The sequence below is a fragment of the Homo sapiens genome, chromosome 3, assembly GCF_000001405.40.
Source record: "Homo sapiens chromosome 3, GRCh38.p14 Primary Assembly".
Classification (NCBI taxonomy): Eukaryota; Metazoa; Chordata; class Mammalia; order Primates; family Hominidae; genus Homo; species Homo sapiens.
The window spans coordinates 66,214,734-66,233,581 of NC_000003.12; the positions used below are offsets into that span (position 1 = coordinate 66,214,734).

Genomic DNA, 18,848 nt, shown 5'->3' on the forward strand with positions numbered 1-18,848 from the left:
CTGTCAAATTTATTTTAATTTTAATTTTTAATAACAAAGCTATTAACTGAAATTTTTTTTTTGAGACATAGAAGATGTTTCTTTATCTCAAGAATAGAAAAATGTTTACCTTGGTCAGGCACGGTGGCTCATGCCTGTAATCCCAGCACTTTGGGAAGCTGAGGTGGGCGGATGGCTTGAGGCCTGGAGTTCCAGACCAGCCTGGCCAACGTGCTGAAATTCCATCTCTACTAAAAATACAAAAATTCGGGCATGGTGGCAGGTGCCTGTAATCCCAGCTACTTGGGAGGCTGAGGAAGGAGAATCACTTGAACCTGGGAGGCAGAGGTTGCAGTGAGCCTAGAGAGCGCCACTACATTCCCGCCTGGGTGAGAGATACTCTGTCTCAAAAACAAACAAACAAACAAAAAACAAAAACAAAAATGTAAAATGTTTACCTTTTTGTTCTATTATTATTATTAATTTTAAAATTTATTTTTATTTTTTGAGACAGGGTCTTGCTTTGTCACCCAGGCTGGAATGCAGTGTCATGAATACGGTTCACTACAGCCTTGACCTCTTATCTCAAATGATTGTCCTGCTTCAGCCTCCCGACTAGCTGGGACCACAGGCATGTGCCACTGTGCATGACTAATTATTTTATTTTTTGTAGAAACAAGGTCTCCCCATGTTGCCCAGGCTGGTCTTGAATTCCTGGACTCAAGTGATCCTCCTACCTCAGTCTCACACAGTTCTGTGATTCAGTACTATTTTAATAGTTTAATTATATCAATGAAAAAATATGTAACCGTTTTAGGAGGCAAAGCGTAAGATGGAGATCAAACATTATTTTCTTCTAAATGGTTAGCTGATAGTCCCAAAAGCATTTATTGAAAGAGTCATCTTTTTCTCTCTCACTAATTTTAAATGCAAACATAAAGCCATATGACTGGTACTCTGTTGATTCTATCACTTAAAGGAAAACTGACTTTTCAAACAGGCCTTTAAAATTTTTTCATTTGACTTTCTTTCCATTTTATATATTTACTACCCTTTGCAGATGGATTGAAATAGTTCCAGGAATATTTTTATTGAAAATGATTCTAACTGTTGTCTTAATCCATTTGTGCTGCTATAACAACATACCACTGACTAGTTAATTTGTAAAGAACAGAAATGTATTGCTCAAAATTCTGGAGGCTGGGAAGTCCAAGGTCAAGGTATTGGCAGATTCGGTGTCTGGGGAGGGCCCAGTTCCTGCTTCCAAGATGGTACTTTTGAACAGTATCCTTACGTGCTCAGGTGGCAAAAGGTGGAAGGGAAAAAAGGCTGATTGAATACTTTGTGAAGCTTCTTTTACGAAGACTTTAGTCATATTCACAAGGGAGGAGCCATCATGACCTAATTGCCTCCTAAAAGCCCCACCTCTTATCACACTGGCGATTAAGTTTCTACACATGAATTTTGGGGGACACATTCAGATCTTAACAAATACTATCGTATTTTTCAATAAAAATCAGTAACATGGAATGGGGCGCAGTGGCTCCCACTTATAATTCTAGGCTGAGGTGGGTGGATCGCTTGAGCTCAGGAGTTCAAGACAAGCTTGGGCAACATGGTGAAACCCCATCTCTACTAAAAATACAAAAATTAGCTAGGTGTTGTGGCATGCCTCTGTAGTCCCACCTACTTGAGGAGCTGAGGCAGGAAGATTGCTTGAACCCGGAGGTTGAGGCTGCAGTGAGTCGAGATGGCACCACTGCATTCCAGCCTGGGCAACAGGACAAGAACCTGTCTTAAAACAAACAAACAAATAAACAAAAAACAACAACAACAAACAAAACAGTAACGGGGCTTGGAACTTAAGCCTAGTCCTGGTTGAAGATTATGTCCTTGTTTTTTGTTTTTGTTTTTTTTTTTGTGCTAGGCTTAAATTATTTTTTGAGCTATGTCTTTGGTTTCTTGCTAATTTTTATAAATACTATTAAGATTTTAGAGCTTGTTTAAAAGAAAACTTGGCTTACAGTGATAGATTTAAGTGAGAAAGACAGGATTATTATAATATCACATGTGTAATGCAAATCAGTGCTTACCACATTGCCTGTATCTTTTAAAATGAAAGATTTGAGAACATATGCTGCCTGCAATGTGGTGATAATGATGATGCATTGAAATACTCCATTTAAAAAGCATGCACAAGTAGTAATGAGTCTTTCTGCTAGCATTTCATGAAAAGGAAGCCCTAGGTCATGTTTGTAATATCTGTATTTCCTAAAAGGATTCCAGTGGTATCATGAAATACCTGGTAAAGCCTTTACCTTGCATAAAAGGAGAGACTATGTATTTCTTCTTGATTCTGAAAGATACCTGATAAATTACATTTCCCTCCAAGTTACCAGAAAATGACATCAACACAATTTTTTCTTGCAAAGTTAAAGACAACCATTGCATTGAAGAGGAAAGGAATTTTTTTCTTAATTTTACTTCAAAGGATGTATTAAATCAAAATTAAAGGTATAAGTCTAGGTTAAATTTTCTCTTAGGGAAGGAATTACATCAAAAACTTCCAGGAACATTAGTAGCTAGAAATAAGATTTATTTTCACTTAGGAGGCTATAGTAGTATGTATCACAAAGTACTTATGCACCTTGATAACTTATCAGTCTCTCATTCATAATATTCAGAATCTCTAACTTAAATAGGAAAATACGGAATAAACCGAATATTTCTATATGACAAGCACTGGACTAAAACTTTCTGTGCATATATTATTTATTCCTCATCATCCTGCGAGATAGTAATATTTTAATCAACTTTATTGAGCTATAATTTACATATACTTTTTTTTTTTTTGAGATGGAGTCTTGCTCTTGTCACCCAGGCTGGAGTGCTGTGGCACAATCTCAGCTCACCGCAACCTCCACCGCTCGGGTTCAAGCGATTCTCCTGCCTCAGCCTTCTGAGTAGTTGGGACTCCAGGCGCGCATCACCACACTCAGCTAATTTTTTCTATTTTTAGTAGAGACAGGGCTTCACTGTGTTGGCCAGGCTGGTCTCAAACTTCTGACCTCAGGTGATCCGTCCACCTTGGCCTCCCAAAGTGCTGAGATTACAGGTATGAGCCACGGCGCCCAGCCTTATAGTTTATATATACTAAGTACAACCATTCTAATTGTGCAAGTCAATGCGTTTTAGTAAATGTACACACCCATGCGACTACTACCACAATAATAACAAGAGAATATCTTCATCATTGCAAACTATTGTTTTGTGCCCACTTCATAGTCAATACTTTGCCTCTACCTCCACCGCCTGGAAAGCATTTATATACTTTCTGTCACTATAATTTTGTCTTTTCCAGAATTTCACGTAAGTGGAATCACAATACATGTGGTCTTTTTTTTTTCACATAGCATAATGCTTTCAGATTAATCCATGTTGTTTCATATATCAGTAATTCATGTCCGTTTATTGTTGAGTGATGTTCCATTATAAAGATGTATCATAATATGTTTATACCACCAGTTGATAGACATTCAGGTTGTTTTCAGTTTTTGACTATTATGGATAAAGCTGCTTTGAAATATAATGTAAAAGTATTTGTATAAATGTTTAGTTCTCTCGGGTAAATACCTAAGTGTGGCATTGGATTTTATAATGGTTGTACCATATAAAATTCGAAACAGCAATGTATGAGATTTCCAGTTGCTTCTCATCCTTGTCAACACTTGGCTTTTTAATTTTAGCCACTCTAGTGAGTTCTAGTGTATTCATATCTCATTGTGGTGTTCACCGGCATTTCCCTGATGTGGTAACCAGTTTCCAAGATGGCACCCAGTGATCCTCATCTTCCGGTATTTAGGCTTTTGGGTAGTCCAGCCCCATAATAAATGTCGATTACCTGTGTAAACAATAGACTATTGCTGGAATGACAACTGAGTAATTTATGAGAACAGGTCATGAGAGACTTTGTAGTTTCTGTCTTGTTCTCTTTCAGACCACTTACTCTAGGAACAACCAGCTACTATATCATGAAGACACTCAAGCAGTACTATGGAGAGATGTATGCCATGAGGGATTAAGGCTACCTGCCAATAGCTAGCACTAATCTGCCAGTTATGGGAGTGAGCCATCTTGGAATTGGATCCTGCGGTCATGATCAAGTTTTATGATATGGCCCTGGCCACCATCTTGACTGTAGTGTCATGAAAATTTCTGAGTCTTAAACACCCAGCTAAATGACTCCTTGATTCTTGACGTATGAAAACTGTGTGAGGTAATAGAAGTTTATCGTTGCTTTAGTCTGTTAAATTTTGGGGGTAATTTGTTACGCAGAAATAGACAAATAATACAGATTTTGGTACTTGGAGGTGGGCGCTACTGTAATTCCTAAACTGTGGGAGTGCCATTGGCACCAGGCAGTAGGTGAAAGGTGGGAAGACTGTGAGGGAAATGTCAGTGAAAGCTTATTAATAGAAACTTGATGGCCTTTGAGGAGGCTGCCGGTGAGGGTTTATAGGAATGTGAAGTAGGCAGGATTCTAAGGTGGCCCTCAAGATTCCTGGCCCCTAATGTGTTTTGCATAATCACCCCACTGATTGTGAGCAGGACCTGTGAGTATGACAGAACATTACCACCATGATTATGTTGTCACGTATGGCAAAAGGAATTTTTCAGATATAATTAAGGTCTCTAATCAGTTGACTTTGAGTTAATAAAAATGGAGATTATCCTGGGTAGGCCTGACCAAAGCACATGAGACTTTGAAAGACATTAATAGCAGCAACAGAGATTCTTCTGCTGGCATTGACAAAGTGAACTAGCATGTTTTGAGAGGGCCTACAGGCAGCTTAGGGAAAGGTATTCTGGGTAGAGAGAACAACATGGGCAAAATTAGGAGGCTTGGAAGTGTATAGTCTGTCTGTGTGTAGTCCGGCTAGTGGGAAGAGTGACAGGAGACACCAGCTGAGAGGTGTATACCATGCTAGGGAGCTGGACTGTCTCCATTGGCAGCAGAGGGGAGTTGTAAGCAGGGAAATAACATTACCATCACCTTTAGAGAGTACTTTCTATGAGCCAGGAACTAGGCTAAGAACTTGAGTGCATTATCTCATTTAATCTATTAATATAATAGTACCGCATGACAAAGTGACTATCATTATCGCCACTTTACAGGGGAGAAAACTTAATCTTGGAAAACTTATCCCCAAACCCAGCAGGTGATAGAATTTGAATTCCATCTAACACCTAAAGCTATTCTGCGTATCATTTCTAGATCATTTTACCTAGAAGAGAATAAGAATAATTATAAGAATAATTCTAGCAGTGTTATAGAATAGGGATTGAAGAAAGGCCAGGCAAGGAGCCTGCTCAGGTTATTATAACGGTTTTGAGGAAAGATGATGAGGGCATTAAGTATATTTTCAGTGCTTGCTCTGCTGTGTTCTCTGTAGCCACATTGAGTCGGTTACTTGTTGGAGCATCAGGAGCCTCTGTAAAATGAGGACACTAGTGTTGCTGACATCATAGGGTTGGTGAAAGGATTAAATGAAAAAATGTCTGTCAATCACTTAGCACCACGTCTGAGATGTAGTTGGCCCTTAATATATACAGAAGTTTACAAGGTATTTGTTTGTTTAATAAAGACAGGTCCACTCCAAGAAATGTTATTAAGTACTTAATAACGTGTGCTTTGAGGTGTACACATGAGTACAACAGCGAACAACATGAGCAGGTAAATAACTGAACAAACAAATAATTTTAAATGCAGTAACTCTGTAAAGAGAAATGGAGGATGCTAATTTTTAACTCCGGTCAGGAAACTTCTGATGTATTTTTCTATATCTTTATTTAATAATCTTCTGATAATGAGTTAATTTAATATAAACTCAGATAAAATTTTTTGACAAAACTAAGAGATAAACCAAAATGAAATATCCGATTAGGATCCCGAATCGCGCCTCCCGAGGTTAGTACTACCCCTCACGACTCCTCCCTCCGCCACAGCCACGCCTCTTCTGGGTTTACAGTTCAGAATCACGCCGGCCTCATTCTACCGCTGCTCTCTCCTGGATCTCGGCCACGGATCTTTTGCTCGCGAAAGTTCCTCCGTCTAGCTGCACACAACGCTGCTGCAGGAAACCGAGGTAAGGGATTTGCCGAGACTTAGCTCCACCACACTCCCCGAGGCCCCGCCCCTCCTCTCTGGCCCTCCCCTAGGCCCAGGTGTCTCGCGTTGCACGTGCAGTTGTTGTGGTTCTACGTCACGTGGTCCCGGAAGTTCAAGACAGACCCGCCTCAAACATGGCGGCGCCCAGCGCGCGAGGACGTGATCCGCTTCTGCTCCGGCTTGGATTGTAGCCTTGACGAGGTCTGAGCGACCATGGACCGGCCGGGGTTCGTGGCAGCGCTGGTGGTGAGTGCGGGGCGGTGGGGTGGGTTGCTCAGAGTGCCGGCGTCCGGCATTGGAGCCCGCGGGCGTTCTCTGCACTGGTTTTCTTCCGGTTTTGCGGGCTGGACTGTCCTCGGGTTACTGGCAGCCAGGTCTGAGAGGGAGCACGAGGCTCCCAGGCCACCGGCGGGCCAGGTGTTAAGGCTATGTCTGTACTGCCAGGTCATAAGAGCCAGGTGGGGGAAGGAAGGTGAGTCATTGTCTTTTGCACCCTCATTTACTTAAAAAAGAGCTTCTATTATACACTGTTAACTACTCTTTCATTAAATAGTGTAACTACTCTAGAGATCTTGGGAATTAAAGAAATGTATGTAACACAACAACAAAAACCTTACTCACATCGCTCCCAGCCCTTCTATTCAATACTACGTTTCTCATTTTGCTGCATCTCTTTTCAGTCTTAGAAAATGACATGTCCTTCTGTTCATTCAATACATAATCTGCTATTTCTGCTCCAAGCCTAGGCTTTGGAGAAATATTGGTGAGCACACATAGCTCATCGGGAACGCTGCGGAGTCAATAAACAGGCTTAGTATTTAATTCCGTAGCAGAAAACTACGAGAATCAACATGAATTAACAGAAAAAAAAGTCCTTTACCAAATATTTTGGAGCGTCTGGTAGAGGATACTAGATACAGCAGTTAACAAAACAGAGTTTGGCTGCCTACGTTTTCATTGTGTGGAATGGGCAGAGACAGACAAATAATTTTTAAAATGATTTTCATAGGGAAAATGGAGGCCCACAGTGATTTAGTCACTTAATTATCGAATTTTGGTGTTGCAGGTGTTGAGGATAACATGGTGAACAAGATAGACCTGCTCCTAAGGGTCAGGTGTTAGAGACAAAATAGTAAAATGACTGTTGGGATAAATAACAGGTGGGCTAGGTTCAGGGTGTTAGGGGAATATATGGAAGTAGGGATGTCTTAGCCAGACTTGTAGGATGATAGCTTTAAATCTAGATTTGTTGAAACTTGTATAAGGTAGGTCTTAGAAATATAAAGAAATAATGTTACTGATTTTTTTTTTTTTTTTTGAGAAGGAGTCTCACTCTTCGCCCAGGCTGGAGTGTGGTGGCGCCATCTCGGCTCACTGCAGGCTCCACCTCTCGGGTTCACGCCATTCTCCTGCCTCAGCCTCCCGAGTAGCTGGGACTGCAGGTGCCCGCCACTACGCCCAGCTAATTTTTTGGGTTTTTAGTGGAGACGGGGTTTCACCGTGTTAGCCAGGATGGTCTCGATCTCCTGACCTCGTGATCCCGCCCGCCTCGGCCTCCCAAAGTGCTGGGACTACAGGCGTGAGCCACGGCGCCTGGCCAATGTTACCGCTTTTAAGGAGCTTTCCTGTCTAGCTGGTGACACAGCAGCAGTAGTTTGTCAGCTAACATTCCTGTGCCAGGAACTGGGGTAAGCTCTTTACATACATTATCCCATTTAATTCTCACAATAATTGAACTCTTATCCTAATTTTCCAAATGAGGGAAGTGGGATACCAAGAGATTAGATAACTAGTTCAAAATCACACAAGTGAGATCCATTTCGTCTGTGTAAGTATTGGAGCTCATATTCCAACCCAGGTGATGTCACCTGGGAGTCGTGCCCTTATCTGCTTCTTGATACTCTCCGAAGTCAGCAAAGGTTGCAATTGCTAAAACACAGGTGAGTGCTGCAGTTAACAAAAGAATGGATTTAGTATATACTTAATTAAAGTATGATACACATGCAGTAAAGTATACTTTTTTCCCAATGTATTTATAGAGGGTAAAATTAGAATCAATAGGTGGAAGTTTCAAGAAACTAGATTTCATTCCAGGTAAAGGAAAAACATTTTATTTATGCATTCAGCACACAATTTTTCTTCCATCTATTCTGCCCACTGGGTATTGTGGTAGGCTTTGTAGATACAGTGGCAGATAACCCCATTTCAAGTAGGGAAGAAAGGCCAGCAGATAAAACAGTTGCAATGAATAAGTGCTATGAAAGAAATGAACTGAAGATGCGACAGAGTAGGCAAATATTGGTGAACCTCTTAGATGGAGTGACCAAGGAAAGCCACGAAGTGGTAACATTTCAGCTAAGACCTAAAAGATAGGAAGGGGCTTGAATTTTTGATGATCAGAGTGGGAGGTTCAGTCATGGGGAATGGCTCAAGTGGAAAGAGCTTAGAGTTTTCAAGTGGTGAGGCCTAATGGGTAAGGATAGCATGGCAGGGGTTGGTATGGGAGGGGTAGGCAAAGCCAGCTGAGGTGGGGCTTTATGGGCTAGGGAAAATAATTTGGATTTCATTTGTAGTGTAATGGAAGCCATTGAAATGTTTTATTATCAGAGTAGTACGGAAATGGAGTGGCTACTTTTTAATGTCTTGGAGTGCGTTTGAGACACAGTGAACACTCCTGAGGGAGTTTGGTTTTGCTTACTACTCTTTTACCAGTACCTGGCACTAGGTAAGCACTCAGTACTACTTTGAATGAAAAGCCTAGATGATTGCTGAAGTCTTGAAACTTGGATTTGAAGAATTAAATGAGGTAACATTAAACACACAGAGCAGAGCCTGGCAAGTAGCAGACATTGAAATGCTCCCTTCCTAAAGCTTCATGAAGAGGATTGAATAAGTGGAGAGCCTCTGGGATGTTAGTTATCATTTGGAGCACAGAGTGGGGTATCCAGAAACAAAATCCTCAAAGAGTACATTGATCAGTGCATACTTTTAGGAAAGCAACTGGAACTATGTATTAGCAACCTAAAGATATTTATATAAATAACATTTAACTCAGTGAAGACAGTAAGAAGCTGCTAAAACATGGGACAGAGGGGAAGAATTAGACAAACAATGGGAAACCCATTTCTTGGACTAGTCTGCAGCCATAAAAAATAGTGCTTGTGAAGAGAATGTACTATAATTACATGGAAAATGCTTATGAGATAAAATTAAGAGAAAAACATTGCATGTATGTATATTTGCTTGTACCTAATTAAAGCTATGTTAAAACCTATTCCATTCATGGGGAAAAAAAGCCAGATTGAAATACTCCAAAATAGCACTAAGTATTTTTGGTGGTAGGATTACATCGTGTTAGTCTGTTCTCATGCTGCTAACAAAGATACCTGAGACTGGGTAATTTATAAAGGAAAGAGTCTTAATTGACTTACAGTTCCATTTGGCTGGGGAGGCCTCACAGTTGTGTGGAAGGCAAAGGAAGAGCAAGTCATGTCTTACATAGTGGCAGACAAGAGAGCATGTGCTGCAGGGGAACTCCCCTTTATAAAACCATCAGATCCTGTGAGACTTACTCACTATTACCAGAAGAGCAAGGGAAAGACCTGCCCCCATGATTCAGTTACCTTCTACCAGGTCCCTCCCACAACACATTGGAATTATGAGAGTTACAATTCAAGATGAGATTTGGGTGGGGACACAGAGCCAAACCATATCATTCCACCCCTGGCCTCTCCCAAATCTCCTATCCTCACATTTCAAAACCAATCATGCCTTCTCAACAGTCCCCAAAGTCTTAACTCATTTTAGCATTAATTCAAAAGTCCACAGTCCAAAGTCTTATCTGAGACAAAGCAAGTCCCTTCTGCCTATGAGCCTGTAAAATGAAAAGCAAGTTAATTACTTCCTAGATACAATGGGGTTACAGGTATTGGGTAAATACACCCATTGCAAATGGGAGAGATTGGCCAAAATGAAGGGGCTGTAGGCCCCATGCAAGTCTGAAATCCAACAGGGTAGTCACATCTTAAAGCTCTGAAATCATCTCCTTTGACTCCATGTCTTACATCCAGGTCACGCTGCTGTAAGAGGTGGGTTCCCATGGTGGCTTTGTGGGATACAGCTCCCCTCCTGGCTGTTTTCATGGGCTGGCATTCAGTGTCTGTAGCTTTTCCAGGCACAGGGTTCAAGCTGTCAGTGGATCTACCATTCTGGGGTCTGGAGGACAGTGGCCCTCTTCTCACAGCTCCACCAGGTGGTGACCTGGTGGGGACTCCTTACTGGGGCAGCCACATTTCCCTTCCACACTGCCCCAGTAGAGGTTCTCTAGGAGAGCCCCACCCCTGCAGCACACCTCGGCCTGGACATCCCGACGTTTCCGTACATCATCTGAAATCTAGGCAGAGGTTCCCAAAGCTCAGTTCTTGTCTTCTGCACACCCACAGTACCAACACCATGTGGAAGCTGCCAAGGCTTGGGGCTTGCATCCTTCGAAGCCATAGCCTGAGCTCTACCTTGGCCCCTTCTAGCCACGGCTGTAATGGCTGGGACACAGGGCACCAAGTCCTGAGGCTGCACACAGCAAGGGGGCCCTGGACCCAGTCCAGGAAATCATTTTTTCCCTCCTAGGCCTCCAGAGCCTGTGATGGGAGGGGCTGCCATGAAGGTCTCTGACATGCCCTGAAGACATTTTCCCCACTGTCTTGTCAGTTAACATTTGACTCCTGGTTATTTATGCAAATTTCTGCAGCCAGCTTGAATTTTTCTCCAGAAAATGGGTTTTTCTTTTTTACCGCATCATCAGGCTGCAAATTTTCCAAACTTTTATGCTTTGTCACCTCTAGGATGCTTTGCCACTTAGAAATTTCTTCTGTCGGATACTGTAAATCATCTCTCTCAAGTTCAAAATTTCACAGATCTCTAGGGCAGGGGCAAAATGCTGCCAGTCTCTTTGCATAGCAAGAGTGGCCTTTACTCCAGTTACCAAGAAGTTCCTCATCTCCATCTGAGTCCACTTCAGCCTGGATTTTATTGTCCATCTCACTGTCAGCATTTTGGTCAAAGCCATTCAACAAGTCTCTAGGAAGTTCCAAACTTTCCCACATCTTCCTGTCTTCTGAGCCCTTCAAACTGTTCCAACCCCTGCTTGTTACCCATTCTGAAGTCGCTTCCACATTTTCAGGTATCTTTATAGTAGCACCCTACTGTGGGTACCAATTTCCTGTATTAGTCTGTTCTCACACTGCTGATAAAGACATACCCAAGACTGGGTAATTTATAAAGGGAAGAGGTTTAATGGACTAACAGTTCCACATGGCTGGCAGAGGGGCCTCACAATCATGGTAGAAGGCAAAGGAGGAGCAAAGTCACGTCTTACATGGCTGCAGATGAGAGCGTATGCAGGAGAACTCCCCTTTATGAGATCATCAGATCTTGTGAGACTTATTCACTATCACCAGAACAGAATGGGAAAGACCTGCCACCATGATTCAATTACCTCCCACCAGGCCCCTCCCACAACATGTGGGAATTATGGGAGCTACAATTCAAGATGAGATTTGGTTGGGGACCCAGAGCCAAACCATTTCATGTGCGTTCTTTTCTTTTTTTTTTGAGACAAGGTCTTCCTCTGTTGCCCAGGCTGGAGTGCAGTGGTGCTGTCTCTGCTCAAGTGATCCTCCCACCTCAGCCTCCTGAGTAGCTGGGACTAGAGGCATGCACCAACCACGCCTGGCTAATTTTTTAATTAAAAATTTTCTTGTTTTGTAGAGACAGGGTCTTGCTGTGTTGCCAGGGCTGGTTTTGAAGTACTGGCCTCAAGCAATCCTCCTGACTCAGCTTCAAAGTGCTGAGATTACAGGCATGAGCCACTGAGCCCAGCCCATGTTGTTCTTACAGTTTTTAGAAAATTTTTTTTGTAGAAAGAGGTGTCACAGGTATGAGCCACCACACCTGGCCCACCCTAAGAATTTTTGTCAAAACATTAAAAACGCTTTGGTTGTAATATATAGGGGAAAAATTGCAAAGCTGATGTTTATTTAGTACACTGTAATTAAAAACATTAGAAACATTAATAACTTAATTTTTTGGACAAAACCTTATCAACAGTAGTTTGAACATTTGCTTGTGTTCTCATTATGTATTATAGAAGAAGCATCTTTTTATGCCTTGGCAAGTTGTCATACTGCTTTCTCAGTTTGGATCAACTTCTAACATTTTATTTTTTGTGCTTTCAATGTTGTGAGTTCGTTTAATGCGAAGACTTGCTGACATAACTTAGTCTGGGACATTTTCATCCTTTTCATCACAACTACTTTCCTTATTTATGTTAAATTTGCTCTCACTTATTTTTTCTAGTTACTTATCTAGATTAATGACAGCAGTGTGAATATTTCCATGGCCAGCTGTTTGTTCTCTAATACCATTTATGTCTGATTTTTGTTTAACTTTGTGTTACCACTTTTCATTTTTTTTGCATTTTCATCTTTGTTCATCAGTTTTCTGTCTATTTTTATAAAATGTCGTGTGCATTTATTACTGGGAGATGAGGTAACAACTATTTGCTGTCTGTGCGTAAACTGAGTAATAGGCAGTGATTTCTGTTAATTGTATTGTGATTTGTGGACTGAACAAGTGGTGAAGTTTACACTTTATCCAGTTACTCATAGTTAATATGCTGTGGTAACTGAAATTTGACCTGGGTCATTGGGAGATTCATGTTATTTAAGTAAATCATGGTAACTGAAATTCATGTATGTAGGTACCATGCAAAGTGAGGACCGCTTGTAGTTTTTGTTTTCCTGTTTTTAGTGAGGTGATTTTTGGCTGGTGCTGTCATCTGGGGAGCTTTTTCGTGATACTTGGGTGTCTTCTCACTGGACCTGCCCTTCTGCTGAGAACCACCTTACAGGCAGTAGGATACTTGAGGGGAACAATGTGGGTTATGATGGCAGGGGTTCTTGGGTGGAGTGAAGAAAGGTAATACGAATGAAGTATTGGGTATACTATTAAAAGAGGTTTTCTGTTTTGTTGTTTTTCTTGTTTTGCCTCTTATCTTTTCTGGATAGTGACCTCCTAGTTTTCAATTTGGAGTAAAGGGCATCTTTAAAGATTATCTCCAAATTTATAAAAAATTGAGAATTATGCTTCTCTTTCTCAGGACTTGTGTGACTTGTTTATTTTTGGCATTTACGTCAGAGTGAGCAGGTCTTCCCTTTTTGCTTGCTTTTGTGTTGAGCAAGAAATTATCTAAACACAAGTATATTCCAAATTTTGCTCAGCCCGTGGAGCATGCAAAGCACTGCTTGGAGAGCACCAATCATGCAAGGACCACAACTGATAACCACCACTGTGATGGAGGCATTTTTTTGTGCATCTCTACTACCCACAGATGGGACTACCTTTCTTTTTTCATTTTTCTTTCTGTTTAAGAAAGGCATACTTGGAAAGTTTTAGTATTTGATAACTTAGCTGTAAGTGACTTGTTAATGTGGTTTTGTTACCACTTCCAAACCCTACTACTACATGTTGAAAGTTGCTCTAAATATTAAATCTTTTGTAATACAGACAAAATTTGGGTAACATTAATTAAATTCCAAATAAAGGAAAGATAAAAGTTACACCCACAGTTATCTCACCTCCCCAAATCAGGTGTCTTTTACATGCTTAACCAGATACATTTGTTGGCCTTTGCTGTGTTATTTGGGGTTGAATGCCTGAAAAATATGGTCCCCCACCTTCAGGGATTTAGAGTCTAGTAGGAGGCAGATGCTAAACGAAACTTAATTATATAATTCCAAGTGGTGGTAACACTTAACTGTTTACTGAGCACTTTAAAAGTGCTTATGCAACTTTTTCATAGCTGAGGTCATATAGGTATAATTTTATATTCTACTTTAAAAAATTAACATGTAAGTTTGAATTCAAGAATCATAAAGCAATTTGAACACTTATATTTCTCTTTAAGTTTTTGAAGTTGATGCTGAATGTTCCTGTCATGCATCACATGATTTGGTTTCTGTTGAGTCAGTTCACTGGGGATTCTTGTCCAGAGAGCAGAATTTGAGAAGAGCTTTTAATTCATTATTGCTAGTGAAAAACTTGAATTTACAGATTTTAATATATGAATTTGTCAGTTGAGTTGAATATAGGAATGTCATCTTCAGTGTTTGGTAAAGTACTCTTTAGGCTTTTGCGTGGTTTTTAGTATTTGCATGTCAGTATTGGTACCAGCAAACTTTGAAGGATGTTTATAGTAATATAATTCTAAAAATAGTAGTTTATTGATAATTGATTAAGGCCTAGGCATTTTGCTAACCATATAACAGGTTCATCTGATTGTGTTTAGTTCTCATTTATTTTATTTAATTCTCAAAAACTCTATGAAGTATAGGTACTCTTTTCCCTGTTTCATGTGTCAAGAAACAAAGGCTTAGAGAGGTTAGTTTCCCTAAGAAGACTGATATGGTTTGGCTGGGTCCCCACCCAAAATTTCATCTTGAATTGTAATCCCCATAATCCCCATGTGTCAAGGACGAACCAAAGGTGGAGGTAATTGGATCGTGGGGACAGTTCCCCCATGCTGTTCTCCTGATGGTGAGTGAGTCTCATGAGATCTGATGGTTTTATAAGTGTCTCGCATTTCCCCTCTTGCACTCTCTGTGTCCTGCCGCCCTGTGAAGAAGGTGCCTGCTTCACCTTTGCCCTCTGGCATGATTGTAAGTTTCCTGAGGTCTCCCCAGCAGTGCGGAGCTGTGAGTCAACTAAACCTCTTTTCTTTATACATGACCCTGTCTCAGGTATTTCTTCATAGCTGTGTGAGAACAGACTAATACAAAGACCAAGTTGAAACCGAAGCTAAATCTGTTTGATGGCAAAGCTGTGTTCTTAGGCAATACTTAATTTGAAAGAATTCCTGGAGAAATGGAAGAATAATCGAGTCAGATTCTAGAACCATTATTATTGTATTCTTGAGAATAGCCTCACTAAAAAAAAAACTGAATGTACACAGTTCTTTCCATTAGGAGGTAATATTAAGCAGAGATTTCTGGAGAAGTCCCCCTGAGTATTCCACAAAGTGGTCATGGTGGCTGAGGAATGCTGCGAAGAATAGCAGCAGATAGCTGACCCTGACTTTTGATTGTCACACATGCTGTGGCAGACCAGAACAGGGACCACCAAGCAGTGCTTGACTGCAAGATTTTTTCTGAACATTTCCTCTTTTTACAAAGTGTTATCTCATCATCCCACGTTTCTATTTTAGCACCCCTGCTATATAAGAAACACTCGGTTAGATATTTAGGAAGGCAGGTGACTGATCTGGTTTCTACTCTGAAGGATCTAAACGTCAGACATGATGGTTAGTACCAAAAGGAAATATAAACAACATTATATACTAGAGTGATGGTTAGTACCAAAAGTGAAATATAAACAACATTATATACTAGAGTCAAGGACATAGCATTTAATTCTGACTGGAAAATTGGGAAAGGCTTTATGAGGAATGTGGCATTGGGTTGCAGCTTTAAGAACGGAGAGGATTTTGTCAGGGGTGTGTGTGTGCATGTATGTATGTAGGGGGGTGGAGGCGATGGTGGTTTGCTGGCTGCAATAGGCAGGAGACAAGGATAAGAAGGGAATTTTAGGCCGGGCGTGGTGGCTTATGCCTGTAATCCCAGCACTTTGGGAGGCTGAGGTGGGCGGATCACCTGAGGTTTGGAGTTCAAGACCAGCCTGATCAACATGGAGAAACCCTGTCTCTACTAAAAATACAAAAAATTAGCCGGGCATGGTGGCTCACGCCTGTAATCCCAGCTACTTGGTAGGCTGAGGCGGGAGAATCAATTGAACCTGGGAGGTGAAGGTTGCAGTGAGCCGAGATCGTGCCATTGTACTCCAGCCTGGGCAACAAGAGCAAAACTCTGTCTCAAAAAAAAAAAAAACAAAAAAAAACCAGAATTTTAGACTGAGAGAAAAACCTAAGCAGAAGCACAGGAATGAGAAGTTTTAGGAAACAACTGGGTGCAGTGGCTTATGCCTGTAATCCCAGCACTTTGGAAGGCCAAGGCTGGTGGATCACCTGAGGTCAGGAGTTCAAAACCAGCCTCGCCAACAGGGTGAAACTCTGCTTCTGCTAAAAATATAAAAATTAGCCAGTCATGGTGGCATGTGCCTGTAGTCTCAGCTACTCCGGAGGCTGAGTCAGGAGAATCGCTTGAACCTGGGAGGCAGAGGTTGCATTGAGCTGAGATTGTGCCACTGCACTCCAGATGGGGTGACAGAGTGAGACTCCATCTCAAAAAATAAATTGTTTCAGGACGTGTTTGAGATGTTCGAGTAGTCAGATTGGTTGAACACTCCAAGGTCTATAGAGGGTGAAGCTTCATGAAGCTGCAGAGGAGGTAGCTTAGGGTCAGTAGGTTGAGGTTCTTAGTTACCGTTTGCTGAGTGGCTTCTATATATCAAGTACAACCAGTAAATTAGAGATTTTTTTTTTCCCCAGGGGAAGCATGAATTTTGAATGGCTTAGCTTTTATATATTTGTAATATTCATTACAAAACTTGAGCAAATAAAAAATTAACAAGGTTGTTTAAAAAATTAATAATTCTTGTTATTTAAAATTGTTAAAAATTATTTAAAAATTAATTGTTAAAAAATTAACAAGAAATATTATTAACAGTAGTATTTCTCATCCTGAATCTCTTTCCACAGAGGCAATAATTTCTAGCAATTTACTGTTTATGTTCCAGACTTCTAATTATGCATATACAAATAGTTACACATTTTAAAAGATGGGATTATATAGCATATATTGTTTTATAGCTAATTTGATTAATTTAAGAATATAGTGTATGTTTCTGTGCCAATAAGTATGGGTTTACCTCATTTTTTTTTTTTTTTTGATTAGAGACAGGATCTTGCTCTGTTGCCCAAGCTAGAGTGCAGGGCAGTGGCGTGATCATAGCTTACTGCAACCTCAAACTCCTGGGCCCAAGTGAGCATCCCACCTCAGCCTCCCAGCAGCTAGGACTACAGACATGAGCCACTGCACCCAGCCTACCTTGTTGTTTTAAAGGCTATGTAGCAATTCATTATTTGTGTATAGCTTAATTTACTTAACAGGGCCCCAGTGGATGGACTTTTAGGTTGTTTTCAATTTTTTATTATTACAGAAATGCTGTAGTAGACATTCTTGTATATTTGTGCATTTATTTCTGTGGAAGAAATGCTTAGTAATAACTGGATCAAAGGTTTGATAATTTAAAATGTTCATTTTGCCAAATTGTCCTCCAGTAGATTATGGTAATGTTTTCGTTAACAGTGCCTGTACCCATTCTTCATATTTTTAATTTTTTTCTAATTGGGAAAACATTTTGTTTTTATTTGATAATGACAGAGAATCATATTTTCATATTTTTGTTAGTCATTTATATTTTTCTTTTGGGAATTGCCTGGTCCTGTCTTTTGCTATTTTTGAAAAAAATTCAGTGTACCTTTTTAAGGTTGATTTGTAGTGCCTTCTAAAATATAGATAGTAACCCTTTATTAGAGCCATTGAATGCCTCCTATTAATATGTGCTGGTGCTGGAAACATATTAGTAAACAAAACAGATATAGATCTTGTGGTTTAATTGGACTGGTACTGAACAAATGGTCAGAGGCAAAACTATGTAATTAAAATTGTGTTCAGTGCTTGGAAACAACAAGATCTAAACCTGAACTGGAGATTAGGGGGCATCTGTACAAACTCCTTGAAATGAGGAAGATCAGATGATTTAGAGGAAAAGATCCAGGTGGAAAGAAAGGACTGAACAAAGGGCACATAGTGCGAGTTTTGGGAGTTGGAGGGGCTCCAGAACCTCCAGAGCCTGGAAGGCTGTGCTAGGATTTTCTTCTTCATCCTCGGGGCTGTTGGAAAGTTTGGAAGATTTATAGGCTGGAGAGTGGCAAGATGAAATTTGGATTTTATGAAAATGATTAGTACAGAGAGGCAGCGAGCACTGCAGGGAGAATGAATGGGAAGTGGGGAAGACGACAGGTATGTCAGAAAGCAGAGGTGGCAGTTCTGCAGTGAGGAAGATGGTGGTTCAAGTCATGGGTGGCAACTTCATGGTGGAGGAAACCGAGACTGTCGGGAATGTTTCCCTTGAGAAGCCATGTTAATGTTATGGCTGGCTCTTCTTAGCTGTCGTTTAGGCCAGTGGCCTCTATTAATTTTGCTTAGTTACATTACACAGATGGTTTGGTTTTGCCCTAGAGGGGAGCAGCAATGCTGTTTTTATGGTGTGCCCTCCTCCTTTTGAGAAAAAAAGTTTTATAGCATGTAATTCTGACCTATAACTTCTCAGAGTAATTGCAGAGCACTAATTGGGCACTTCCTCTCTACAGTCTGCCAACACTTCATACGTTTATTAACTTAAGGTAGAGACATGTATTTTATCTATAAGATATTGAGGTCTCGATACATTGTGATGCTGTAGCAAGGTTTGCTGGTTATCTGGGTTATGTCCTATTTCTTTGGATTTTTTTCTAGTTAGAACTTTTCGGTATAAGCTACCATAAATTATGAAATGAATCACTTGCCTGATAACTTTCTGATAGATGATTATAGCAAAATAACATTTTCAGGCTAAAGAATAAAAGAGTTTGATGGAGTTCTTTATAATTAGGTTGTTACTGGCTTATATATTTTTTACATAATTA

At 40.5% G+C, this 18,848-nt stretch overlaps 1 protein-coding gene across 26 annotated transcripts in view, besides 3 other annotated features; it reads left to right on the forward strand.

Moving 5' to 3' along the window:
* The window catches only part of SLC25A26 (solute carrier family 25 member 26), a 245,318-nt gene that overhangs the window by 81,124 nt on the left and 145,346 nt on the right, over positions 1-18,848 (forward strand). For 17 of the 26 annotated variants that reach the window (NR_174576.1, NR_174568.1, NR_174567.1 and 14 more), the window contains exon 1: positions 6,268-6,394. Coding sequence is in view for 5 of the 26 variants with exons in the window: in NM_001400705.1 (NP_001387634.1) it covers positions 6,362-6,394 (33 nt within the window). In the remaining 21 variants the exon portion in view is untranslated. Of the gene's footprint in view, positions 1-6,008; positions 6,395-17,052; positions 17,140-18,848 lie in introns of those variants that run through there. The other 9 variants (NM_173471.4, NR_028475.1, XR_007095631.1 and 6 more) reach the window with 4 other exon arrangements.
* Positions 5,881-6,040: an enhancer, noted in NCBI's record as "active region_20037". NCBI's record gives its function as "activates an Ori minimal core promoter by ATAC-STARR-seq in GM12878 lymphoblastoid cells {active_cell/tissue: GM12878}" and the evidence as "EXISTENCE:reporter gene assay evidence [ECO:0000049][PMID:35858748]".
* Positions 6,211-6,270: an enhancer, noted in NCBI's record as "active region_20038". NCBI's record gives its function as "activates an Ori minimal core promoter by ATAC-STARR-seq in GM12878 lymphoblastoid cells {active_cell/tissue: GM12878}" and the evidence as "EXISTENCE:reporter gene assay evidence [ECO:0000049][PMID:35858748]".
* Positions 6,392-6,891: an enhancer, noted in NCBI's record as "H3K27ac hESC enhancer chr3:66271551-66272050 (GRCh37/hg19 assembly coordinates)". NCBI's record gives its function as "activates a minimal SCP1, AML or CMV promoter by ChIP-STARR-seq in primed H9 embryonic stem cells {active_cell/tissue: H9 hESC(primed)}" and the evidence as "EXISTENCE:reporter gene assay evidence [ECO:0000049][PMID:30033119]".